The sequence below is a fragment of the Homo sapiens genome, chromosome 18 (assembly GCF_000001405.40).
Source record: "Homo sapiens chromosome 18, GRCh38.p14 Primary Assembly".
NCBI classification, from domain to species: Eukaryota; Metazoa; Chordata; class Mammalia; order Primates; family Hominidae; genus Homo; species Homo sapiens.
Window position 1 is genome coordinate 48067644 of NC_000018.10, and position 27454 is coordinate 48095097.

Sequence of the window (27454 nt, forward strand, 5' to 3'; positions counted from 1 at the left end):
TCTGCTAGCCTGGAGATTTGGACTTGCCAGCCCTTACAATTGCACGAGCCAATTCTGTAAAATAAATCTCTCTCTCAGTTGGGCATGGTGGCTCATGCCTGCAATCTCAGCAATTTGGGAGGCCGAGGCGGGCAGATCACCTGAGGTTGGGAGTTCGAGACCAGCCTGACCAACATGGAGAAACCCCGTCTCTACTAAAAATACAAAATTAGCTGGGCATGGTGGCGCATGCCTGTAATCCCAGCTACTCGGGAAGCTAAGTCAGGAGAATCACTTGAACCTGGGAGGCAGAGTTTGCAGTGAGCCAAGATTGCACCATTGCACTCCGGCCTGGGCAATAAGAGTGAAACTCTGTCATCAATCAATCAATCAATCTCTCCCTCTCTCTCTCCTTTTCCACTCTCCATCCTATTGGTTCTGCTTCTCTGGAGAACTCTGACTAATACGACTTGGTTAGACGAATTCAGTGGCACTCAAACTTGAGCCTTGTAAGTCTTTTTTTTTTTTTTTTTTGAGATGGAGTCTCACTCTGTTGCCCAGGCTGAAGTGCAGTGGTGCAACCTCGGCTCACTGCAGGCTCCGCCTCCCGGGTTCACACCATTCTCTTGCCTCAGCCTCCCGAGTAGCTGGGACTACTCGGTGCCTGCCACCACGCCTGGCTAATTTTTGGTATTTTTATTAGAAACGGGGTTTCACCGTGTTAGCCAGGATGGTCTCGATCTCTTGACCTTGTGATCTGCCCGCCTTGGCCTCCCAAAGTTCTGGGATTACAGATGTGAGCCACCGCACCTGGCTGAGCCTTGTCTAAGTCTTAACCCAGGCTACACATCAGACACCTCAGAAGCTGTTAAAAAAAAAACAACAAAAAAACAAAACACCAGCATCTAGACCCCAACCCCAGACAAGTTGAATTAGACTTTCTGGAAATGGAGCCTGGGCATCAGTGTTTTAAAACTCCCCAGGGCCTCCCCATGTGCAACCCAGGCTGAGGGCCATGGCTTCTCAGAGGAAACAAGTCACTTTGGAGCTTACTAGAAATGCAAATTCCCTGGGCCCCATCCAGGACCTAAGAATCAGAACCTTTGGGCAGGCTCCTGGCATCTCCAGACTTAACAAGCTCCCCAGCACATTACTCAGCTGCTCTCTAAAGTTTGACAGCTCTGAGCATGGACCACCTCTCAAGGCCCTTTTCACCTTCACAATGTGCTCCACTATTATGGTCAGAATCTGGGGGCCAGAATATAATGTCTCCTCTCAGGAGGGGGCCGAGGACATCGTAGTGGGAGAAACCAGCAGGACCCCATGATGTGAGAAGAGAACAAGCTCTTTCCGGAGCTCAGGGAGTGAGATGAACTCAGCATCCTCCCAGTCTCCACTAAGGGCACGTGGCACCTGCCAGGTAGGCCGCCTCTGCTCCTGGAGGGTATGTGTGGCCTCCAACCACCTTGGTATCCCCGGCCCCAGCGCAGCCAGGGCAGGGCACAGAGTAGGTGCTCATGCATTTCTGTTGCTGGATTGACTGAATCAATGAGCATACTGTCCCACAGTCACTGGGCCCACCCCTGTCCAGGTGTTCCTGTGGGTGGCACGCCTGTTACCTTTCTCAATTCTCACCACAATCGGAAAATGCCCTTCCCTTGCTTGTTGTTTCATCTCCTAGGCATTCTCCAGGGTCCAGCTGACACCCTCTCCCTTTGAAAGATCTCCCGATTCTTCTCTTCCCTCTGCGGTCTCTCATCACTGTTCCTGACCGGATTTACAGTCAAGCCCAGATTGCTGCCTTGTGTAGTCCTTGAGTTATTTCTCCCTTTCTTCTGTGTCTTCCCCTGGACTGTGAGCAGACAGAGGACAGGCTGGGCATATGGCAGGAAGCTGTGAGAGCTTGAGAGCTCACAGAACATGCCCAAGACACCTGTGCTTTGTGGTTCAACAGAGGCCCAAGAAAGCAAGTCGGGCCCCTCTATCCTCTCCCACCCCCTCCCCATGTATTCGGAGCCTCTACTATCAGGAGCAAGGCTTTGTGCTATATCTACATAATCTTAGACCCTGTTCCTTCCAATTCCAGGGATATGCTCTTAACCACTGCAGTATAAGCCTCCCCGCTACACTCTGAGTGGAGCAGAGGAAGGGTGTTTTTGTCTTTGAGAAAGGCAAGGATGAAGGGCAAGATTTGAGCCATGGTGGTAGATCAGAAAGAAGATCTGATAACAGGCTTAGGGATCAAAATGGTAAGGAAATGGCTTCAGGGGAGTCAGGCCTGGCCCCTGGAGCGGGAGGAGAGGGAAGGGCTAGGCTCTTTATGTACATGCTGTCCATGGGGCCTGGTAAGATTCCTGGAATCACTAACCCATTTCACAGGTGAGGCAATTGAGCCTCTCAGAGCTGAAGTAACTGACCCAAAGCATCCGTGCTCTTGTGTGGCAGAGCCAGAAGTCAAATCCAGGTCTCTGTGACCTCAAGGGGCACCAAAGTGAGTATCAAAAAGGCAGAAAGGGACTTATCCCTTCACTCACTCAGCAAAAGCATAGTAAGCAGGTCTGTGTGCCGGGCATTGCTAAACACATAGCAGCGAATAAAAGTGTCAGCCACAATGAGTTCACAGCCTAGTGACTGAGGAGTGAAATGCTTTAGGCCATGGCATCCTGGAGGGGGACTACCTGCCTGGTTCTGGAGTCATCCTCACCAAAGCTTTGAAGCCTGAATCCCAGCTGTAGGCTGGTCTCTGGCCTTCAGCTGTGAAAGTCATTCAGATACTGCCATCTGGAGAAAAGGATTGGTGCTATCTTGCTGGTCCAGGTCAAGAGGAGCAGGAGGAAGAAGAGGAAGAAGACTGCCTCCATCTCAGTGGATGTTTTCCAAGGGCCCCCACAAAGCTGGGAAGAGCTTGCCCCATTTCAGTGTGGGTGCCACACCTTTTCCAGCACAGGGTTCTCCTAGAGAAGGGAAATCCCCCATCTGAAACAGTGCCAAGGAGGCCGTAGTTTGCATCCACACTCCCCATTCATTGCTCCCTTAAACATCTGCAGGGACTAGAAGCCCAGCAAAGTCACCAAGAGTGACAGGCATCTGTACATGTTGGGGGAAGGAGTGCAAACATGCCATTCTTTAGGGCAAGAAGAGTCTATAGATCCAGAGGCCTCCCTAGCCCACCCCATCCTGCCCTTCCCATGTTTCTGCTCTGATCCTTTCCTTGGCTTCCTTTTGAGGCTGAGTTTTCCCCCTTTCCCCACTGAACTGCCCCTGGGGTCCCAGCCAATCTCAAAACCCAGCCCAAGCAGTAAAAATTCCCATCAGATAATATGTTGAGATTTCAGGTTCGGAAATCACTTTATGTTGTATCCACTTTTCCCCAGCAGCGTCTAAGGTTCTTAAGGGGAGAGAGCATGTCATACTGCTTTTCACATCTATAGCACAATGCCTAGTACATAGTAGGAACTTAATATGTTTATGATAAATGCAGTTTCACAACAGCTATGGATTTCCAGAGACTTCAGATGCAATAAAACATCCTTTACACAAAGGCACTACCGCCACAGGTACTATTTAGAAGATCCAGGGGGTATTGTGATTACCCAGGGGTCCTCTTTAGGAACATAATGATGACATTAGAGTCTCTAAGAAACGTCTGGTCATTTATAATTTTGAGTAAAGAAGCATGAATGACTCAACAACAGAAAAACCCCAACAACACAACTCAAATAGACATTTCTCTAAAGAAGACATACAAATGGCCCAGTAAGCACATGAACAGATGCTCACCATCACTATTAGGAAAGGGTAAGTCAAAACTACAATGAAATACCATCTCATAGCCATTAGGATGGCTACTGTCAAAGAAACTAAATAACAAGTGTTGGTGAGGATGTAGAGAAATTGGAACCCTTGTGCCTGACTGGTAGGAATATAAAATGCTGCAGCTGCTGTGGCAAACGCTAGGGAGGTTCCTCAAAAAATTAGACATGGAATTACCATAGGATCCAGCAATTCTACTTTTGAGTACATAATCAAAAATAATTGGAAGCAAGAACTCGAACAGATATTTGTACAAGCACATTCATAGCATTATTCACACTAGCTCAAAGGTGGAAACAAACCGAAGTCCATCAGTGGATGAATGGGGAAACCAAATGTGATATATACACAAAACAAAACATTATTCAGCCTTAAAAAGGAAGGAAATTCTAACACCTGCTACCACATGCGTGAACTTTGAGGATATCAGGTTAAGCGAAATATGCCAGACATAAAAGGACAAACACTGATTCTGCTTCTTGGAAGTACCTGGAATCAGGGGATGGAGGTGTGGCGAGTTAGTGTTTAATGGGGACAGAGTTTCATTTGGGATGCTAAAGAAGTTCTGGAGATGGCTAGTGGTGATGTTTGCATTACACTGTGAATACACTTACTGTTACTGAATTATATACCTAAATGATGAATCTTACTTTACGTATAATTTTACCACAAGTGAATGTATGAATGAAGCATGAATGAATGAATGAATGAAGGCTGCATGGGATATGAGGAAAGCATTTGACCACTGGAACCCGACAGCCATGATTTCTAGCTGTGTGAAAGTGAGTTGACACTCTACTTCTCTGAATTTCAAGTCTGTCGTCTGTAAAATGGGGTAAGAAGACCCCAAACGGGGATAAAAATACCCATGCTACAAAAGGGAGTCAAGGGTTAAATGAGATAATGTATATGAAGCCTGGCGCTCAGGGCCAGGAGACTCCTCCGATCTCTCACCCTTTCCCCCTTCTCCCTGGGTGGCTGCATCCATTGGCCAGGTTGGCCTCAGGCGCCAACCCCAGCTCACCTTTCCCAGGTCGATCTGCAGCCTCCTTCCCATGTCCCACTCCTGAAGGAGGGCCGCCAGCTTCCTGCGACTCAACAGACAGACACAGGGGCAGGAGGCCAAGCTTCACAGTGTCTCCCCGGGGCGCTTGCAACAAGCAAACAAGCAAAGACTGAAATAGGGAAGGTAGAGTTTCACACTCTGTGGGAAGTTTGTGGCAGAGATATTTTTAGGAGGGGAGAAGGTGGGAGATATTTTTAGGATGGGATGCTTTTCCCATTGCTCCTCCAATCCCACCTCCCTGTGGGGAACCGAGGAAAGGTAGCATTAAGAGCCGCCTGTGATGAAGGAGGCAGCCGGCACTGCTGGGGAGAAGGCAGCCGCTCTCCGCTTCATCCTTGGGCTGGGACCCCAGATGTTTGACCCTGGCCAGCCCCTTGCTGGCCTTCCCGACAGAGCCACTTCCCTTTTGGGAGTGCAGCCTGGAGTTCCCTTCCCCCTCCAGGCCACAGCCCCACTCTCCCTTAGGATGACCTGAAAGGGAAGTTTATAAGAGGAAAAGGAATGAACGGGATCCTATTTAACAGCACATGCTGGGCGGAGGAACTTCCTGACAGGAACCAATGTGGAAACCAGGCCCAGTTTGGCCATGGAAAACTGGTTTGGCTCAGAACTGGCCAGAGTGGAGAGGAGACCTTGGGCAGCTGCACGTCGCAATTAAACTGGACTTGTCCGACTTCGCTTTCTTTCTTGTCCCCTCTAAGCAAGCAGACACTATAATAATCTGCACACCACAGGGGGTGTGCAGATTATTTTTTTAAGTCTAGGGGAAAGAAACCCCACCCTCATTTAGGTCACAGAGACATAAAGGGCTACTGGCTAGGCTCAGCAAATCAGGAACAGATGTAGGCAGCGGAGCAGGGCCAGGCGAGCAGAGCCGCTGCCACCAGGCGCCCAGCCTGAGTCACCCTGGCGGGGAGGGCGGGAGGTGGTGGGCAGGGGTGGCCGTCTTTATTTGTGGGCTTGGGTGTGGGGTGCAGGAAACAATGCAAACAGAAGAGTCCCCGGGGCTGGGACAGGCGCAGGGGTGCGGGCAGGTACGGACAGGCTCCCAGTGGCTGCTCTTCTGGGCCAAAGGATTAAAACAGGCCCTGAGTTTGAACAGGGAGAAGGCTCTGCTCCTCCCTCAGCCTCTTTCTCTCCTTCCCCTGCCCTCCCTCTCCCCCCACCCAAGAAGACCTTATTTCCAGGGCTGAGTCTGGCTGTGGCTGGCCGGCTGGCCTCCGCCCTGGCTCCCCAACCCCTCTCTTTAAGGGCCAGGCTGTCCTGTGGCTGGCAGCTGGCAGGAGAGGCCTGGGGTGGACGTTTCAGCCCTTGCTCCCCGAGTTTCTGCACAAAGCCCTATCCTCTCTCCTCAGTTCTCCCTTTTCTCTCCTCACTCTGATTTGTCTCCTGTAGACCCCCAAAGAAATATTAGCTTCTCAGGGCAAAGGCCCTGTCCCTGCCCCTCAGGCCCCAGCCAGGCCTGCAGTGGGTATTCAGTCCTCATTATGACTTTCTCGAAAAGAAAAATTTCTTTTTTTTTTTTTTTTTCAGACGGAGTCTCGTTCTGTCACCCAGGCTGGAGTGCAGTGGCACAATCTCAGCTCACTGCAACCTCCACTTCCCAGGTTCAAGCAATTCTCCTGTCTCAGCCTCCTGAGTAGCTGGGATTACAGACGCATGCCACCACGCCTAGCTAATTTTTCCATTTTTAGTAGAGACGGGGTTTCACCATATTGGTCAGGCTGGTCTTGAACTCCTGATCTCAGGTGATCTGCCTGCCTCGGCCTCCCAAAGTGCTGGGATTACAGATGTGAGCCACCACGCCCGGCCCATTATGACCTTTTCTAAGGTCACCCTCCATCTGGGGGGCAGTCATTCCTGAGATATCGCTTTTTCCTTCATATAACACAGCCCCTTGCACATGAGAAGCAGGGACCTCCTCTGTCTCCATGGCCCTCTGGCCTGGTACACAGTAGGTGCTCAGCAGACGACTGTCATAGGAATGGATGAGCACCACTGGGCACCAAGGGAACCATCAGAGAGAGCCCAGCAGCTCAGAACCGCACAGCCCTGTGTGGGCAGCTGTGTGCTGAGGCTGCTTCCTTGCACCTTTCTTGTATGGAGAGGAAGGCTTTCATGATACCCTCAGACCAATTGCAGACAGCACTCTGGAACAGAGTAATCTGGTGTTTCCAGCCCCTACAAACTCTCCAGTGACAGGATGAAGAGAAAAGTAAGGGCCTCTTCTCAAAGGTGCTCTCTATGGCCGAGCAGAGAAAACAGAATCAAAGCAGTTTTTAGCTGGACGGTTCCAGCCTGGCAAACACAGAGGAAAAATGGCAGGATCAAGGACGCTTGGCTTAAAGGAACGGACACCCAGCTCTCCTGCTGTCCAGGTCCTCTCCATTCAGTGATGTTTTTGTGATGGGTCACACACTTATTAACATACTGGCACCTTTTGTTTTTTAATTCTCAAATTTCCCTTGATCCTTTGACTCCTCTAGTTAATTGAACTCACATCTTTGCCAGCATCAAAATAGGTCATCTATCAAAGTGCGCAGAGAAGAGGGAGGTGGCACAAGGTACAAGGAGAGAAAAGAGGCGTTTGGCAATTTCCCCAGGATACAGACTTCCATGTGTTTTCTCAACTCTGCCTCCCCCACCCACAGTGCTACAGGCATTAGCATGAAGAGGACGCATTTGAGCTTCATCAATGTGCTGGGTAGATGGCACTGCCAAACAGCTCCTCAAGGCATACTGGCCTCCACTTGGTCATTTCTCCCCTCCCAAATGCCCTTACTGTTCTATGGGAGAGAAAGGACACAAGCTCTCCAGTCTTAGCTGCAGATCTGCTCATTCTTATCCAAAGAGGCTGGTGATGCGACAAAGGGCTTCAAGCCCAGTGCCCAATAAGGAGAAGCCAGATGGAAATGGGAACAGCCAGCCCAGAGAGGAAGAACATGCTAGAACCTCCACAGGATCTGTTTGATGCCTGGAGTTCCAGGAAACACAGAGCAGCCCTTCTTCCCTCACCGTGGGCTTGGCTGAGATCATCGGCTTAGCGATTGCACAGTTTTGGGTTGATTGATTCCTCCTCCTGCCTCCCCACTCCCAGGATGGCATCTGGAGGCTTCCCCTGCAGCTGCAGGGAGAGCAAGAGCTCTCAGGCCTGTTTCTGGGTGGAGGAGGGGCAGGTGACTCCTTTCTACCTTTCCCCAGGTAGAAAGGTAGAAATGACACGACACAGGTCAGCGTCATCCTCCCTGCAGTTGAAAGGGAGGATGTTCAGGTTAAACAGAAGAGCCTTCAGAGGCCCCACCTGCTCTGTCCGCTAATCTCCCAGCACGTCCAGAAATCAGAAACACCAGTTGAAGATGCCCCATCCTCCCAAATCCGCTCTCCTAGGAGTTCCCAGCTCTGCTCTCGGGCTGAACATATAATCCATCTTTGTGCACCTAAGAGAGCGCCTCTTGGCATGTAGTACCGGGTGCCAAAGAAATGTTTGTTCCCTCACTCCACCCTCCCTTAACTTGTTCCTCCCCAGCGCCTGCTCAGGCAAATTCAGCAAATGCCTACCAAATGAAGGCCTTCTATGAGTCGGGCTCTGGGCAAGGTGCTGCAAGAATGAAAAATAAACATGTTTCTTGTCCCCAAGGCAGAGGGATAATGGGTCCCCACTAAATGAGCCGCTTCTATGTTCCTAGTGGCTTGTGAGGCACTTTACTCCTGTGACCTGACTTTAGTTTTCACAGCAATGCTAGGAGGCAGCTAATCAGTCTCTAATTTTATTTATGAGGAGAGTGAGACTCAACGAGTGAAGGAAGGAATTGACACTCTTGTAGTTGCAACAGGTTCTTTATAAATAACCACAAGGTTTAATGTGGTAAGGACCTAGAAAAGAAAAATGGAAAGTGCTGGGTGCCTAGAGGAGGGTAAGGGGAGGGAGGTGGGGGGTTTCCAATGGGCAAAGGGCCACTGGCAGTTCTATATCCAGGCTATATCTAGGACACTGGTCCCAAATAGAAAAGCAATTTTTAAATATCCAGGACACTGACCCCAAATATTCCCTGCTTTCCAAGCACCTTGCCAGCCACTGAGATTGTGGGTGAGTGGTTGCCCACACGACTAATTTCCAAAGCAGAGAAGATGCAAGAACCCCATGGGCAGGGAGCAGGGTGAGGGGCTCTGGGCTTGGCAGGAGCCTAGTTCAAGTTGCTGATGGGCTTTGTCCTCTTGACCCACGGAGACCTTGGGACAGCTATTATGAGGGCTCCACAGGGAACCTTCTAGACTTGCATGTTGGAGCCAGGGGTCCCAAAATGCACTGCTCTGCTGAGAACCCATGGGATTGCAGGAGAATGTAGTCATTATGCCCTGCCCAAAGCCCGAACCATGATCCCTTTTCCAACAAATCGAATTCAATCAAGGAAGAAGCTTCAAATAAGTACTAACCTGGCTTTAACACTTCTCCATAATGTCCTACATGTTTCTGAACTTGGCCAAGACAGCACCTAAGTTCCCTTCCAGCAAAGGTCACAGGAAGAGAATAGAAAGAAATGCACAATATGTTGTTATATGCAAAAAAAAAAAAAAAAAGCATTTCCTCCTCTATGATTTTTTTTCTTATTCTAAAGGCAATACAGGCTCTCTTTAAAAATCAGAAAATCCTGCAGGGGTGGGGTGGAGGAAATGAGGAGATGTCGGCTAGAGGGTACAAACTTCCAGTTATGAGTAAGTTCTGGAGACCTAATAAAAGTCATGGTGACTATAGTTAATAATAAGGTATGGTATACTTGAAACTTAAATATTCTCCAGACACACACACACAAAGGTAACTATGTAAGTGGAGGGGGTAATGAAGGTGAGATGGGGGTGGTGCTTAAAAACACCCTACTGGTGATTCAATACGGAACTCCCCCAGTACGCTCACACCCCAAACTCCGTCATTGAGAAACCCTGCAATAAACGCACAAAACCAGGGAGTGAGGAAGGGCGTGTGGGGCACACCCTATCCAACTTGGCGAGTCTGAGCCTAGTACAGGGCCTGGCATGGAGCAGCTGCTTAAAACACTTGTTGAATGAATGAACAGAGAAGTGAAGTGACAAAGTACAGTCAGGGCACATGGAAGGTCACCAAAGAGGGTAGCTGCTTCCAGTCACAGATGCACACGTGGAAGTCGGGGTAAGTGAGCCCCCAAAGGTGTAAGCACTGAATGTAGTGGTGGCAACATTTGATGAGCACCTGGGTCACCTCGTCCTCACCATCTGAGTTGGGTCTTATCATCATCACCTCTCAGCAGGCAGAGGCAGGACTCAGGCCTGCACAATACCCTGCTGGCTCCCTGGTTATAGAGGTAAGATGCTGAGGAGACCCACCAAGAGCCTCTTTCGGTCCCTTAGCCTCCCCAGCTCACCTGGCTGGGCTCCAGCTTGAGTTTAAACTATGTCTATGCAGAATTAGAGGGGCCCAGGGCACATGAGGGAGAGTCTTGGGGTGGGGGGGAGGGCAGGCAGCCAAGCATCTGTTGCATGAAGGAACAAGCTGCCCCCCATACCATGACTCTCCCCAAGACAGGTGGAGTAGAAGGCCAGAAGCTAGAGACTCAGACCCCTCAGGGTTGGAGGTGATGGGAGATTTGTCACTAAGATGGCCCTCTGGCTTATCTCGCATGATTCCAAATACCCATCATTCATTCACTCATTCAGTTACACAACACATAATTCTCAAGCTCCTGCAATATATCAGGTCCTGTACAAGGGAAAGGATCCTACCGGGAGAGAGCCCAGGAAAATCCAAAGGTTCTGTGTCTAACATCTCCGAGACACACATGCAAGGCCCCTTTGGTGGCAGCACAAAGGTGGGAAAGTGTGGCTGTCTGACTCTGCAGAGAACATGGTGTGGCCCCAGGACCTCTGCTGCCTCTGGGGGGCATACCTTCAGGATGGGCAGGGTACCCTCAACCTTGGTACTGGCACCTTGGCTCACACTCCACCGGCAGCATCAGGTCAGCCTTGAGGGCATCGGTGCAGCAGGCCCAGCATAAGAAGAGTGAGTTGGGTGTACTGGGGAGCAGTCGTGGGATGCTTGGGGGCTCCAAGGGTTGTGGTGAGCACTGCCCCGACTAACTGAAAGCTACAGGAGAACCTCCATTCTCACACCAGAGTGGTAGAGAGAGCCACTAATTTCCAAAGCAGAGAAGATGCAAGAACCCATAGGCAGGTAGCAGGGTGGGGGGCTCTGGGCTTGGCAGGAGCTTAGTTCAAGTTAATGATGGACTTTGTCCTCTTGATCCACAGAGCCCATAAAATTATACAACATGTAACCTTTTGTGTCTGGCTTCTTTCACTAGCATGATGTTTTCCAGGTACATCCATGTTGTAGCATGTATTAGTGCTTCATTCATTTTTAATGGCTAAATAATATTCCACTGAATGCATATATCACAATTTGTTCATTCATTCATTCATTCATTCATTGATAGACATTCGGTTTAGTTTTGACTATTGTGAATAGCGCTGCTGTGAATGTTGATGTACAAGTATTTGTTTGAGTACCCATTTTCATTTATTTTGGGTATATGCCTAGGAGTGGATTGCTGTGAGGAATTATAGAATTTCTAGAGCTGGGGTGAACTTAAAGATCAATTATTCCAGTTTTACAGATTGGTAAACTGAGGCCTCAGATGGCTCTCTGCCTTGTTTGGGATCATACATGCGTCACGATATGATGTATGGCCAGATGCCAAGGGGCCAGTGGCATTTTTCAGTTCAACCACAGGTAAGTCATGACTCGTTGCCCTTATTATGGGGTCCATGGTGCCCAGCACAGTGTCTCTTGTACATAGTAGGCACCAGATATTTGTTGAATAAGTGAAATAAAACATTTGTGCCCAATTTTTTAAAGTGTTACCTATTCTGGAAAGGGAGGCACCCACTATCCCATCTCAGAGATTCAAAGAATCCTGCGGAACAAAGTGTCAGAATAAATGGGCCCAGGGTCCACCTCATTGGAGGGGACAAACTCAACTGCAGTGGGATCGTGGGGTACTGGCCACTTCATTTCCTAACCCCTCCCCTCCTGGCTACATCAGCACCTCCTCGCCAAAGCAGAGAGGATGAAGCTGGCTGGGCTTTAGGGGCCACAATGGCCTAAGGAGAAGGCAGCCAGCTCACCCATCAGAGCCCCTCCAGACCCATACTCTTAGCAAAACTGCCTTCACAAAAGAGAAGGGGTGGGCTCCAGCCCGCTGGAAAGGCCTTGGCTCTTGCAGTTCTGCCATTCCACTTCGTGGGGTATGATGTAGCCTCTAGGACCTGCTTCCTGGGAGGCTACAGGGGAGCCGGGGAAGAGGGACATAGGTCCACTTCCAGGGGGACCGAGCACTGGCACCTCAGCCAGCAAGAAGAGCCTAGTCTGTGGGCCAGTGGGCAAGTGCCCAGGGACTGCAGGGCATGGGGCCACCTCCTCAGCTTTCCACTCCTCTGACAGCAGCACATGAGTCTGTGCTAACGACACCACTGCTCCTCAGCACAGGGAGCAGACGTTACCACACTCTGGCAAGCCCACTGACAGCAGAATGGCGCCTTTGGGGCCCGCCTGGTGGGGGAGTGACATTCAATGTCTCCATCAGCTGAAGGATGACAGCCCCAGATGGGATCAGCCCTGCATGGAGTACAAGGGCTTCTGAGCCAGCCTGCTGTCACTCTTAACACTTCAGTCACCTCAGCCCACACCGTCCTGATTCCTGTATCCAAGCCCTCTAGTACCTGGACAGACCCATGTGTGACTCTGGATATCTGAGTGCAGACAGCACCCTGCCAGATCCAAGTTGCCCACAAGCGACACGGCATTTGGGTGTTCACTTGTACCCTCTCATTTCACATCCTTATTTCTCTGTGGGTCCCAGTGTAAGCCCATATTTTTCATGTATTGACTCTCATTAAGGCGAAGCTAAGAGAGCCACAAACAATGCTCTAATTAATGTGCATGACAGAAGGAGCAGGCACCTGGAGTTTCCAATTCCTAGGCATCCTTCTACTTTCCATCTAACCCGTCAAGCTGCTTCACCTCTGTGGGCCTCTGTTTCTGCATCTGTAAAGGAAGGAATGGTCTCTGCACTTCCCCTTCAAGCTCTGAAGTGCCCTCACATGGGGTCTATTATGTAGGTTAGTGGCTGATGTGGCACCATGTGACATGAACTGGGCTGTCCTGACACCAGCCACTGTGAGCTTGGCTGGTCCTGCTGGGGCTGCACACAGTGAGGCCTGGGCAAGCCTCCAGAGCCCACAAGGCCAGGCAACCCCAGAGCCCATGAGGCCAGGCAACCCGAGAGCCCCAGGTTTCCCCTGGGTCTGGCTGTCCACCTGCTCATCTTTCTCCCTCTGCCCCTGCCACTGTAGAGAGCCCGGGCAAGCCCACGTGCTTCCTGCTTCTTTTCCCCACTTGAGATTCGTGTATTCTTTCCTCACTCACCCCTGGTTTGATCTCTCTCATCAAGCATCACTGAAATTTCCCTGGGAGCCTGACACTGGCCAGCCATACAGCTCTCCCTGCAAAGACACCATGGAGCTTCTCCCATTACTGGGGGTAAATTCCTTGAAATGGATGAGTAACAAAAGCTAAAATTTAGTTCTTCTTGATGCAAATCTTTGAGAAGGGAAGTGGAAACCCTACCTGTGATGAAAATGAGACATCAGGAGGCCATCTCTCAGTCTCCAGACAGTCAACAGCCAAACTTCCAGGGAGGCTTAGCATAGCTTGGATCCTGCAACTGGCCCCATGACCATTCAGCATGGGGCATCGAGTCTGCACCTTGCACTCAGGTTTTCTGATTCTAGACACCTGTTGTACCATCCATGTCAGGACCAACAGACAAGTCTGATGTAGCCCAGGAAGGGGAGGCAGTTCCTGGCTGTTTTAAAGGCTGTGGTTTTGCTCATTCTAAATGATTTCTTTTTTCTTTTTCTTTTTCTTTTTCTTTTTTTTTTTGGTTGAGATAGAGTCTCACTCTGTCGCCCAGGCTGGAGTGCAGTGGTGCAATCTCAGCTCACTGCAAGCTCCGCCTCCCAGGTTCATGCCATTCTCCTGCCTCAGCCTCCCTCTAAGTGATTTCTTTACAATACCACCATCAAGGCCTTTCTCCCTTCTTTTCCTTCAGTTCCCAATCCTCAGATCTTAACGTGCCTCCTGAGGTTCAACAGGGGTCCAGCATCAAATTAAGTTCTGCAAAATGTTTTGAACTCCTACCATGTGCAGAAGACTCTGCTTGTGCTGTGTGACCTGGAAGCCATTAGCCACACGAGGCTATTAAGCACTTGAAATGTAGCTGCTCAAACTGAGATGAGCTGCAAGTGGAAGATAGACACTGGATTTTGAAGATTTAGTACCAAAAAAAAAGATAGATATAGCATTAATAATTTTTATATGAATTACATGTTGAAATGATATGTTAGATATACTGAGTTAAAATATATTGCAAAAATTAATGTTAACTTGTATTTTTGTAATGTGACTATGAGGAACATTTTAAAGTCAGTATGTGGCTGGCACAATATTTCTATAGGACAGTGTTGGTCTACGCATTAGAGGAGGCCAAGAGGAAGAAAACTGGTCCTTATCACAATGGTTTGGGGACTTGGGGGTGTTCCAAGTGAGTTGAAATTAAAACAGTCCCCATAAAGCATTTGTTTTTCACAAAATTATACACTGTCCCCTTGCACAGCCTATTTGGAGAAGATTCCAACACGCTGAGCCTTATCATAGGGCAACAGAATGTAAGAACATCTTGAGCATGAGATCTGAGCCATCATTTTTCTCTGCAGGTAAGAATACAGGTAAAACTTCCACAATGGTGCCTGGGAATGATCAAATTGTTAGTCATCTTGGGTATTTTCAACCCACCTACATTACCGAAGTCCTGTTCCTTATCTGCAGGAACCCAAGATGAGACGGAGCTGTCACCCAGGCCCTCAGCAGGGAAGCAACGGGCTCAAAGCAATGCTGGAACTGCCTGACAAGGTAGGAGGTGTGTGCAGGCAGGCACAGGTCACTGCCTTCTCTCTGGGATGTTTGCTTGTGTCGAGGCACAAGTTAGGGGAATTGTAATATATGTCTATGTATTTTACCCCAGGGAAAGGGAGAAGCTCCAGGTATCTGGAAAGGAGAGAAAGTAAGGCAAACAGCAGACTCTGAGTACCTCCCGTGCGCTGGGCATGAGTTTTATGTAATCTCATCATCCTCACAATGACCTTGCTGGGTGGGTATGGGCCCATTTTAGAGATGAGAAAACTGAGAGTCAGAGGCCTAGAGCAAGGCCTAGAGCAGGTTGCTTTGATGGAGAGCCACATGTACACTTCAACTGCCCTCCACAGGAAGGATCTGATGTGGGAAACTGCTGGGTGAATGAGGTCTGGCCTGGAAGTCAGGCCTCATGTCCTGGATGCAAATTTCATGAGTTGGTTGATTTTGGACAAGTGGCTTTCCCTCTCTGTACCTCAGTGTTCTTAAAATGAAAATCTAGGTATTGGGAGACATGATCAGTGTTCACCAAACTTTTCCCAACTATAACCCGCTATGACATTTTTCTTCATGACCAGGATATACATCTGCGTGTGAAGACCTGAAATAAAAGTATTGAATAATACTTACTCTAACTACATATGATGCATGTTATTTTCTATTCTATTCTTCTTTTCTTTTTTTAATTTTAAAAAGCTAGCGCTATGACCTACTAGATTGATCAAACTATCCATAATAGAGCATCACTTGCAGTTTGAAAAACACTGCCTTAAATGATTGATTTCCAAGTAGCCCTCTAGAACCAACATCCCGAGGGGCTGTAATTGATGCCAAACTAACAATCTAGAAGCCTCAGTTGCAGACCAGCTTTCTTCCCTCCACAGTATTCCTTCATCTCTCTTTCTCTCTTTAGCCCCTCGTCCCCTGCCTGTCCTCACCCACCCTACCCCTCCTCACCCATCCCACACCTCCTCATACAGAGGCAGCAAAATAAATGCAAAGCATTTCTCTCCATCTAAGGGAAGGGTACGCTGGAGACAGAGAGAAGGACTAGAGGAGGCTGCGGTGCAAAGTTTGTGTCTGACCCCACTCACAGAGCCCTGTTTCCATAGGCCATTTGCTGGGACATGGAAATCTCTAATCACTGAATGCTTCTCTGTAACGGAATTTGTCATAATGGGGCTTTACTGCTCCATACAGCAGCAAAATCCATTTCAGTGCCCTTAAAAAAATGAAATTAAAGAAGTTCCCCTGACTGTAAATGGTGGCTGGGTAAGGAAACTCCTTTGTTCCTTCTGATTATGAGGTTATAAAGGGCCTTATTTTAGCAACCCATATTAGGAACTTACTTTCCCCTCCTATCTTGTCCCTGAAGAAAGGAAGAGCTTCAGTGGACCCATTTGGTGAACTTCCAATCCTGTTGGTTGAAGCAGGCCTTTAAACACGACCTGAGACCGACTCTCCAGGGTCGTCGCAGGGACAGCCTCCTCCCTTGTGCCTATGGAAGGTTTCCACACCGAAGGAAACTACCAGAACCTTCTGCAGGCATGAGGCCTCCTCTGCACCCAGCTTCCTTTTCCATTACCCCTGGGTGGGTGTCCCACTGTGCTGAAGGGTGGTGTTGAGGAAGGAAGCAGTGGGGCACGTCTCCTAGCCCCGGAGCAACTAAGGAGAGAATGAAAGGTCTCAGGGAAGGTTCAGCCTTCCGAGGCCTCACCCTGGGTCAGAGGAAGGCGGGGCAGTGGGGAGCAAAGATCAGGGGCCAGAGGTCGGGGGACTGCAGAAATGAGGTCCTGCCAGATGATATGCCATCCCCTCCCCACGATGGGGGCTTAGGTCTCTTCGCCCTGTTGTTTTGAGTAAGTTTCACATCACACTCTATTTCATTTCACTTGTCATATTAGGAAGCGGCCATCTTTAGCTCTGGGTTGACTCACAGCAGTGGCGGCAGGTGGCTCTTGAGGTCCCTGCAGCTCCTCTGCTCCTCTGACCTGACTCCACTGGGCATGTCTGCACTTTTCTGGGGCATCCAGCATGAACCTGGACCCACAGTATGCCTGTGAGCCACGGAGGAGTGAGTGACTCAGGCAGGCCCCACTCGCCCTATCACCCCTACCCTGGCCCCCGTGGCTGGTGTTTACACAGATTCAGACCCAGTGTGGCCCAGCCTGGCTTCCTCAACCCTCCGGGCCAGTGCTGGGCCTTCCCACCCACTTCTTGCCCTCCTCAGGGGTTAGCATGGGTCTCATGCACCTCAGGACCTAGTAAGTATGTTGAGTTTGAAGCACTTGGCAAGGCAGAGACAGAAATGGTGGCTGCTTGTATGGGGTATGGTATCTGGGAGCCAGAGAGGGACTCTGTCACCCGAACCCCTTTGTCTGAACCTCTGTTCAGTGAACCTCTGTCACTCCTACTGACCCCTGAAGCTTCCCCGCTGACTGATGCCCATCATTCCACAATCAAACCTTCATTCCTTTGGGGCAAGCCAAACCTGTACTTTAGCCCACATTAAAATGCCCAGCCCCCGGGAATGGTGTCATTAACATCTTATCAGTCAATTACATCTCAGTATGGATGAGTTCATCCAGATCAACTCAGCTGAACTCAAGGGCCTACCTTGAGCCTGGTCCTCTGCTGGGCTTTACGGCAGGGCGGGTGGGGGTAGGTAAAAAGGCGAAGAAGACACAGACCTTGCTTTCAAGGGGCCTTAGGCTCTGTCCTGAGAGCAGGCTTTGGAGGTAGAGCTGGGAGTATGCTGGGGAGAGGAGGGTGAGCAAGAGGGAGGGAAAGGCCCCATTTCGTCACCCAAGCATGTTTACCTTGTGGTGCCTACCCAAAGGGGCCCATTACCTCTCCCCCAGGAGAAGTCTCCTCACTAGAGACGTTTGTCACAGGCTCAAATAAGACATGATTTTTTTCTGCCTGACAAACATGAACTGACAAGGAGTAGAAGATGTGAAAAGGCAGCCCTAGACCAGGGTTTGGATCCCTGCTCTGCTATTCATTAGCTGTGTGACTCTGAGCAAGTGACTGAACGTCTGTGTGCCTCAGTTTCCTCCTCTGTCAAGTGGGGAGTATGAGTCAATTCTACATCCTAGGGTTGTGAGGATTAAAAGAGTTAATACTATGAGTACTTAGAACAATTCCTGGCTGGCAGGAAGTACTCAATAAACATTAGCTATCAATATTATCTAATAGTAAATATCTTCAGGGGAAAACTGAGTGTTGGTCATGAAGAACTGGGCTTTGGGCTCACTGTAAGGAATGGTGACCACACAGACTCTGGGACGAATAAATGTCTGGAATCTTCAGAGACCCCTCCCTGCCTGGCCAGGGGCCCTGCCTGGCTCCAGCAGCAGATTCAGTGACTGTGGCTCTGGTGGGAGGCCTCTGAGGGGCTCTGGTTCCTTCTCCAGGATCCCTGCCTGACCATGCCTAGGCCATCTCAGCCACAGGCTGGGCAGCGGAGCCACCTCTCCTCTCTCCCTGAGCTGGCTTACTCTGAACATTGCTGGCTGACTCATCTTCTTACAAGCAACTTGGATCATGTCATTCTCTTGTTCAATCACCTTTGACAGGTCCCCACCTTCGTCATGAAGGACAGTTCCTGAACCTGGCATTCATTCTGCCCCTGCCTGCTTCCTGGGCTTTTCTTTTTCTCTCTGCTGTTCCCCACTAACCACAGGAAGAAATCACCAAGTTCTTAGACTGTGCCCCACTGTACAGATCCAAGAGTATGTATTATCTCATTTAATCCTCACAACAACCTCATAAGGTAGATACTATTATTATCATCCCCATTTTATAGGTGAGGACATTGAGGCACAGAGAGGTTAAGAAATATACTCAAGGTCACACAGCTAGGAGATGGTAGAGTTGAAACTGAATTTCAGAAGGCAGGCTCCAGAGCCTGCATTTCTACCTACTGCCCTGTAAAGCGGCACCCCATGTTCCATAATCTAGATCATTTTCTGTTTCCCTAACACCCCGTGTATGGTCCCATTGCTCACACAAGCCTCTCTGTTGCCTGGAATGCCTTCCTACTCTCATCCCCTCCAGAGTCCTGTCTCATCCACCACAATGGAACCCACACTTCAGGGTTCTCAGTAAAGAGTACCGCCTGTTCAGGGAGAAATCATCTTTCCTTCTCTGCAGCCTTGCAGATGCATGTGAACTTTATCTCCCTTCCTGGATTCTGAGGGCTCTGCCTTGTGTGTCCTTGATCTTCTTGCAGCAGGCTGAGCAGGCTTAGTACTTATTGTTAAGTGAACGAATGTGTGATGTGCAACAGGCTTTAAACTTTGCAAACGCTTGTATGTTTACCATCTTATTTAAATTTAATACAATTTATTTAATCGAACTCTGTGCTGGAGTGGGCCTTGTTATTCCCATTTTGCAAATATTAATAATAATAGCTACCGTTTGTTGAGTGCTTACTTCCTACAAGGCGCTGTGCTAAAGGGTTAACATATATTGTTTTTCAGTAACTCCTCCCAGCGATTCTGAGAAGTAACTATAATGATCCTCATTTTCCAGATGAGAACACTGAAAGTCAGAAATGTGAGGTGATCTGCCCAGGATTGTGCACATAGTTAGTAGGAGAGGTTGAAACTGACTTCAAGTCTTCCAGCACTGGATCCTCAGCCTTGGTTGCCTGCTATTGAGTGCTCACTGTGCTCCTGGGCCTGGAGAAGGCAATGAGAGCATCCAAAAGCAAGGAGGGCATCTGAATTCTATGAACAAAGGCAAGAGGCAGGAAAGCTCCAGTGTTGTCTCATGACAAGTAAGACACTGGAGTTTCTATGAGAATGTGAAAATGTTGAACACAGTGTTCCCTTAAAACACAATTCCTGCTGGCTAGGGCCAGGGAGACTTACAGACCTTTTGCATTCCCAATAAGCTATGTTCTTATGCTCATTACTCTCCCACTTCTCAGATTTGATTCCAAGTGATCAGAGCTGTGACCCTGGTCTGGCAGAGGCCAAAGGAGGCATTTATGGCCAGGCATGGTAATCACTCTTGTGGTAATCCCCACGCCTGGGGAGGCTGAGGCAGGAAAAATCCTCCAAAGCTAGGAGTTTAAGACCAACCGGTGCAATAAAGCACAACCCCATCTCTAGAAAAAAATTAAAAAGAAAAAAAAATTAGCTGGGCACGGTGTCATGTACCTGTAGTCCCGACTACTTGGGAGGCTGAGGCAGGAACATCTCTTGAGCCCAAGAGTTTGAGGCTGCAGTGAGCTGTGACTGTACTACTGCACTCCAGGCTCACCTGGGCAACAGAACGAGACCCTTTCTCTAAAATAAATAACAAATAAAGGATGGTTACTTACTTTTAAAAGTGGGTGGGGGGGGGGGGCATTTTTCCATATTTTTCTTATTTCTTCCTGAATTGCTTTAGCCTTTTCCTCCATTTAACCTCATTCTTTCCTTTCACTCTTTAAAGCTAGTGCTTACTTTTGAAAAGACTAAAACAGTAGCTTTATATGAATACATAAGTACACAAGTGTATGTGATCAGCATCACACTAACACCCCTGTAACCCAAATTTTATCCTCCATATCCACCTTCAATCAAATATCGACAAAGCCCTGACCATGCACAAGCCACAGTGCTAAAGGGGGTCAGGAAGACAGCAGTGCCACAATAAAAGCATAAAGCTTTCGTCTGTGGCTTTGCTTAGTGTCACAGTCTAACAGGGGAGAAAGAACTCAGGCCCCCCGAAGTAAGCAAGGACTCCATAGACTCCAGTTACCTTGGCCTCCACCAACCAAATGACAGAGTCTTCAGCTGGCCCTTCAGGAGCTCAAAGGAGGGACACATTGCTCTAAGTCTGGGCTGTCAAAGAAACAGGCCTTGAGGGATGAACAATATTTAGGTATGGATAAGTTTTAGGCAGAGAAGGAGCAGGATATACATTCTAGTCAAAGAAACAAAAAAACACAACTGTATAAACAAAGGAACAAAAAAATGAATATAGACAATGCGCTCAGCCGATCAAGTGGTTCCATTTTGGCTGGTTGGATACATTAACAGAAGGAAACTGGCCAGCCCTAGTGGCTCACACCTATAATCCCAGCACTTTGGGAGGCTAAGGTGGGTGGATCACTTGAAGTCAGGAGTTCAAGACCAGCCTGGCCAACATGGTGAAACCCTGTATCTACTAAAAATACAAAAAAATTAGCCGGGTGTGGTGGTGCATACCTGTAATCCCAGCTACTCAGGAGGCTGAGGCACGAGAATCGCTCAAACCTGGAAGGTGGAGGTTGCAGTGAGCAGAGATTGCGCTACTGCACTTCAGCCTGGGCGACAGAGTGCAACTCTGTCTCAGAAAAAATAAAAATAAAAAAAAAGAAGGAAATTATGGGTGTGGACTTGGCAGTGGGCAGGGGGTCAAATTAGGGAGCTTCCTCAATGCGAGGCTGCAGAATTTGACCTTAATTTGGTAGGCAATGGGCAGCCACTAAAGATACTTGGATGCAAGAGTGCTGAATTGAAACCACAGCTTACCTGGTGGCAGTGTGCATGCACCCTCCCTGAGCCCGGTTTACTGATCACACAGGAGAGAAAATTATTTTGAAAAGACAAAGCCCTAAACTAATTATTCCAATTAATTAGAATAATCTGAATTGCTGATTGAGTGAGGCTTCCTGCTCCCAACCATGGACTTCTAAGAGTCAAGTTTAGGCCGGGTGCAGTGGCTCACGCCTGTAATCCTAGCACTTTGGGAGGCTGAGGCGGGTGGATCACTTGAGGTCAGGAGTTCAAAACCAGCCTGGCCAACATGGTGAAACCTCGTCTCTGCTAAAAATACAAAAAATTAGCCGGGTGTGGTGGTGGGCGCCTGTATAATCCCAGCTGCTTGGGAGGCTGAGGCAGGAGAATCGCTTGAACCCGGGAGGCGGAGGGTGCAGAGAGCCGAGATCACGCCACTGCACTACAGCCTGGGTGACAGAGCGAGACTCAAGACTCCATCTCGAAAAAAAAAAAAAAAAGAAGAGTCAGGTTCAGAAAGTGGGGCCCTAGATTTCCAGTTGCCCCAACTCCCCGGGCGATTCTGATGTCCACTCCAGTGGAGTTTCTCACATGGTACTACGCACACCGCTCACATGGGGCTCTCACTAAAATGTGTATTCTGACTCAAGAGGAATGGGGTAGGGCCTAAAAGTCTGCATTTCTGATTAGCTTCCAGGTGACACCAGATGCTTCTGGTTCAAGGGCCACACTTTGAGGTGCAAGATGATAAAGTTTTGTCTTGAATCTAAACAGTTATTCTCCATGATAGAAAGCCTAAACAAACAAACAAACAAACAAACTGGCTGCTGTGGCTTAATTAATCAGACTCTGGAGATGGGGTCAGGCCTGGCTATGGTTTAAAAGCCCGCTGGGTGAGGCTGCCGATCACGCAGGGTTGACACTGGCCCTTCATAGCGTTCCTCTCTTCCCAAGACCAGCAAGGATAGTTCTGGGATTCAGAACTGGGTGAAGGAGGTGGGAGTGTGGTCCGTGGCAGGGCAGTGAGGTGGGTAGTTCCATGCCCTTCCCACCCTTGGCCAGAGGCCAGTGCTCAGGAAGGTTCCCATAAGGTGGGACCCATCGCGGGAAGTGCCAGGAAAACACCCACAGCCAGAGACAGCATGTGGTTTTTCCTGTGAGTCCCCGGATTTTCTCAGATCATAAAAGGGAAAGGTGAGAGCGTAGCAGGTGCTGGGCCAGTCACAGGGACTGTTGCTGTGTACCAAGGACAAATGAGGTGTGAGTGCCAGGGACACGGGTGGCGTGTGTGTGGCAGAGCTCTACCAGGGGGCTTCGGTGCTTGGCTCTCCTGCCTAATCCTGGGGTTCCAATCGCTATCAAAGGGAATTCTTGCCCAGGGAGTTAAAAGTCCTTTGCAAGGACACCTACAGACTTCCAGATGCGATCCTGCACTTTCCTGAACAATTGCTGTCTGCAGGCCTTATAGACAAGCAAGGCAGGAAGAACAAACCAAGTCCTCCGTCAGCTACTTCTCCCTGCTGTGGGCCTCTAGCTGGGCTGAGCATCAGCACCAACAAAGAGAGAAGCAGAGGACTGGGGATGAGTCCTGGGGAAGTGGACAGAGGCTGAGACCTTGAATGCTCAGCATGACCCAGGCCTATCTGTCCAGCCTTAACTTCCCATGGTCCCTACCAAAGCCTTCACTTCCAGAAAAGTTGTCCGGCCAGGCACTTGGCTGCAGGATGGGATCCTGCTCCCCACTGTGCTGGACCCAGGCCAGACAGACCCACCCCTTGCCTGTCTTACCAGAATCAGACCCATCTACCTTCCAGTTCCACTGCCTCCAACCCCTTGTCAGATGACTCCAGCCCACAGTGCTCTTTCCTCTCTTAACTCCTGAAGCAGAGGTGGCCTGAGTGCTGGTTATCTCTTTGTGCAGCTTCTCTCTCGAACAGAACTGTCCAATAGAAATACACTGTGAGCCACCTATGCAATTTAAAAATTGTCTGGTAGCCATGATAAAAAGGAAAAGAAAAAAAAGGGAAACTAATTTTAACAATATATTTTAATCCAATATATGCCAAATATTGGTGTTTCTGTTTTTTTTTTTTTAAAAGACAGGGTCTCGCTCTGTCACCCAGGCTGGAGTACAGTGGTGTGATCATAGCTCACTGCAGCCTCAAACTCCTGGGCTCAAATGATCCTCACTTCAGCCTCCCGAGTAGCTGGGACTACAGGCATGTGCCACTATGCCCGGATAATTTTTTTTTTTTTTTTTTTTTTTTTGGAGAGACAGGGTCTTGTTATGTTGCCCAGGCTGGTCTCAAACTCCTGGCCCCAAGTGATCCTCCCATCTTGGCCTCCCAAAGTGCTGGGATTGTAGGCATGAGCCACCATGCTTGGCCCTAAATATTGTTTTGAGATGTATCAATAATAAGAAATAGTATGTTCTTTTTTAAACTAAGTTTTTGAAATCCAGTGTGCATTTTACATTCACAGTGCATCAGAACTTGGGGTGTTCACATTTCAAGCACTTGATATCTACAGGCAGCTCATGGTTATTGTATCGGACAGCTCATGACTGTAAGCATTTCCAGGGTGGGTCTCATTTATTAGAGCTTTTAGACACATTGGCTGTAACAGCTGAGGGAACTCTTAGGACTGCTTGGCCCAGCTCCTTCACTGTGCAGGTGAGGAGACAGCTTCGGACAGCGAGGCAGAGTCTAGCAGGCCAGAGCTCTAATCTTCCTGACAGGACCCTACTGATGTTTTCTGAGTTCTGGGCTGGAAGACTCTGCCCATCTCACCCACTGTGGGTCCTTAAGAAAGGTGCCACTTCATCATTGTCCAATGATACCTTCAGAGGCCACTCGGTGGCCTCCGTTTATCCCATTTGGCAGAGTCCAGTGCTCTGTGTATTCACACTTAGGCCAGTGCTTCTCTTCACACCCAACTCCTCCAGTCCTGGGTCAAGTGGTGGAGAGATGAGGACACAGGAAGAAGAACCTTGGCAAAGATGCAGGGTGTGGATGTCAATCATAGAATCTGTGGCAGCATAGATTCTATGTCAATCATAGAATCATTAACATGCTGATATTGCAATAATAAGGGCACCATCCACCCAATCAGCCCAAGTGCTTGTTTCTCCATAGTGGGTCGACACTTCCAGACACAGAGCCCTGGCGGAAATTACAGGAGGAGTGCCATCTCCACTTACTAGGCTCACAGCATTAGTCAACACTTCCCATCCCCTTGGCAAATGTAATGAACTTAACACGTTGTGAACCCTGGAGGCTACCAGCCTTGCCCTGGTATGCCCCAACGCCCCTGTACCCATTAGCTGAGCTGCATGCCTGGTAAGGAGCAGCTGCGCTGGGCCCAAACCTGTTTATGCCAGTTGTACTGGTTATTGTTCTTCACAATTTAAATATCATGTAAACTGATGAAATCGAAGTACAAAAAGAAAGCAAGTTGAAGTTTTCATGCAGACTAAATTGATATACTCAAAGGTGAATCACTTAAAAAATGCTGTTGAATTGGGTGTGGAGGAGATAATACAATATTGGAAAGCAAACTGGAAACCTAGAAGGATTTTGCACTCAAATACGCTTTGCATCTGTCTTTAAGTTCTCATACCACTTTAATAAATCCATTCTAGAAACCACAGAAGAGTCCTTATGGGGATGGTTTACGCCAGAAGAATAGAGGGGGAACCCTAACCACTAGACTCATATGCAGATGAAAGGCCTTGACCCACCTCGAAAGACTGGTGGAGAAGTGTACATTTCTAAGTGCGAAGTTAAAATAAGATTTGTAAGTTATTCATGCAGCTTTGGTTTCTGATCTCTGCTTTAACTGGCTTTTTGGTTGACTGATTAACTCTAGGTTTTTATCGGTAGATAAAGGCTGATAGATCAAACTTTTGCTGAGCCTTGCTTGCCGAAGGAAAGCCATGAAATACCCTGGTATACTTCCACTAAACACTGAGGATGGAGGCATACAGGGGTTTTGCATTTCTACAGGGATCCTGCAAGTGCCCGGGGGCCAGTCAGGACCAGGTAATTCAACAGAGAGAATGTAATGTGGGGACTCATGTGAGGGAACTCACGATTAACAACAGAAAGCTGTGAGAGTAGAAGAGGGGAGACTGTATTAACAGAGCACTGACTGGGCTTTCCTGCCAGTGCCCGAACTAGGGTAAGGGAGCTGGGCCCACAGAGTAGACTCAGCCGTGGTGGAGATGCCACCTGATGTGGTGGTAGGGGGAAGATACCCGGTTTCTCCCTTCTTCCTGACCTCCTGCCTCAAGCTCGCTCTAGCCCTCCCCCTGGCCAAGCCTAGCCAGAAGCCTACTGGCAATGCCACTGGCAGGGCAGCCCCCAACATGCAGAGCAGGGAAGATATCTGAGGGCATCTGAGGGTAAGCAGGCTCAGGACTGGCCCAGATCTGCTGAAATCCAAAAAGTTTATATGAATGACTCGGAGTGGAATTTAAGACACCTCTAAGGCTGAGCAAGAAAAAGTGAATATTTGAGGCCAGAGCAGAGACAGGGCTGTCCTCCTGATGGCCCACAATCCAGCTATGTAAGTGACTGCCTATTCTAAGCCTGGCCTTAAGGGCAGCAGTGATTAAAAAAAAACAAAAAAAACACACACACAGAGATTCATCTTGATGTAACCACAGGAGTTCATAGAAGAGGCAACAAACTGCCCAGGTAAGTCAGAAAAGTCTTCACTAGGAGGCCATGCCAGGCAGCATCTTGGTTTTTAAAATTTTTAAAAGATTAATAGGCTTCGGCCAGGCGCGGTGGCTCACGCCTGTAATCCCAGCACTTTGGGAGGCCAAAGCGGGTAGATCATGAGGTCAGGAGATCGAGACCATCCTGGCTAACATGGTGAAATCCCGTCTCTACTAAAAAAATACAAAAAAAATTAGCTGGGCGTAGTGGCAGGTGCCTGTAGTCCCAGCTACTTGGGAGGCTGAGGCAGAAGAATGGCGTGAACCCGGGAGGCGGAGCTTGCAGTGAGCTGAGATCACGCCACTGCACTCCAGCCTGGGCGACAGAGCGAGACTCCATCTCAAAAAAAAGAGAAAAAGATTAATAACCTTGTTTATTATAACCAAAACCCAAAGGGTGGCTAATTTAAATGGCCATTGCACTTTATTCTGGCTACTGTTCAACTGCTGTCCCAAAGTCAGATGGTACTGACCTGATGGGTAATGTGGTCACAGCTGCCTGGATAATGATATCATCTGGCTGAGTCCCTCTCATTATTTCTTCTCCGGGTTTTAGCTCATGTGCAACTATTTCAGTGACTACCCAAGATTGGGCAGCTAATGTTGGGGGTGGTGGCATGCCACAGTTGTAGCATTTGACGAGCACCTAAGGGACTTTGCTTCTGGTTACCCCCAGCTATGTGTCTTAGGGAAAGTAACTGCACCTCTTGATCTCAGGCCCTCTTCTGTAAAACGAGAGAGTCAAACAGACATTATACATTTTAGGATGATCACTCTGGACATCAGCTTTCATCCTGTAGGTTTTCAGGTGGATGTGAAGAAGGAAAGGGAGATTAGGTAGAAGGTAGATTGAGTTCAGGCAGACCTTGGAAGTAGTTTAAAAAAAATTCTGAGAGGACATTTTTTTTTCTCCCTTTTCTCATACACTTTTTCCCTAAAAGCAGAATTCTAAGAAATAAATCCTAGTTAATTGAGAGTTCTGGTTACTTGGGGTACACTTAATCAAGGTTTTACTGCATTTTCAATTGCAGTGAGTTACACAGTGGTTTGCATATGCATTTACTTCTTAAGTGACTTCTGTTCCCTGACCTCATATCTGTTTCATTAAAATGGAACACTTTGAAACGAAAAAGGGAGCATGGAGCTGAATGGTTCTACCTGGATGCAGCTCTGGGGAAACAGCAGTCAAGGTGATAAAAGGCAGTGTCCAACCATGCTCATATATTAGCTGCCCTGCCTGAGAGACAGTAATTGTGTTTTCAACCACATTTCACAGCACTTTTCAACCTGGCAAGGCATTTCTGGGTTATTCTTCTCACTCTGGGGCAGCTGAATTTGCTGCAAAAATCTCCCCCAATTCCCTCCTGGTAGTAACCAGGTGG

At 48.6% G+C, this 27454-nt stretch overlaps 1 protein-coding gene across 18 annotated transcripts in view, besides 1 other annotated feature; it reads right to left on the bottom strand.

The window, feature by feature from the left end:
* Nucleotides 1–27454, bottom strand: part of ZBTB7C (zinc finger and BTB domain containing 7C) — a 385914-nt gene that overhangs the window by 40972 nt on the left and 317488 nt on the right. Inside the window, exon 5 of one of the 18 annotated variants that reach the window (NM_001371291.1) lies at nucleotides 20027–20155. The exons of the other annotated variants lie outside the window; for them this stretch is intronic. The gene's annotated coding sequence lies outside the window, so the exon portion shown is untranslated. The remainder of the gene's footprint in view (nucleotides 1–20026; nucleotides 20156–27454) is intronic. 18 annotated transcript variants of the gene reach the window in all.
* Nucleotides 11762–12684: an enhancer, noted in NCBI's record as "NANOG-H3K4me1 hESC enhancer chr18:45605776-45606698 (GRCh37/hg19 assembly coordinates)". NCBI's record gives its function as "activates a minimal SCP1, AML or CMV promoter by ChIP-STARR-seq in primed H9 embryonic stem cells {active_cell/tissue: H9 hESC(primed)}" and the evidence as "EXISTENCE:reporter gene assay evidence [ECO:0000049][PMID:30033119]".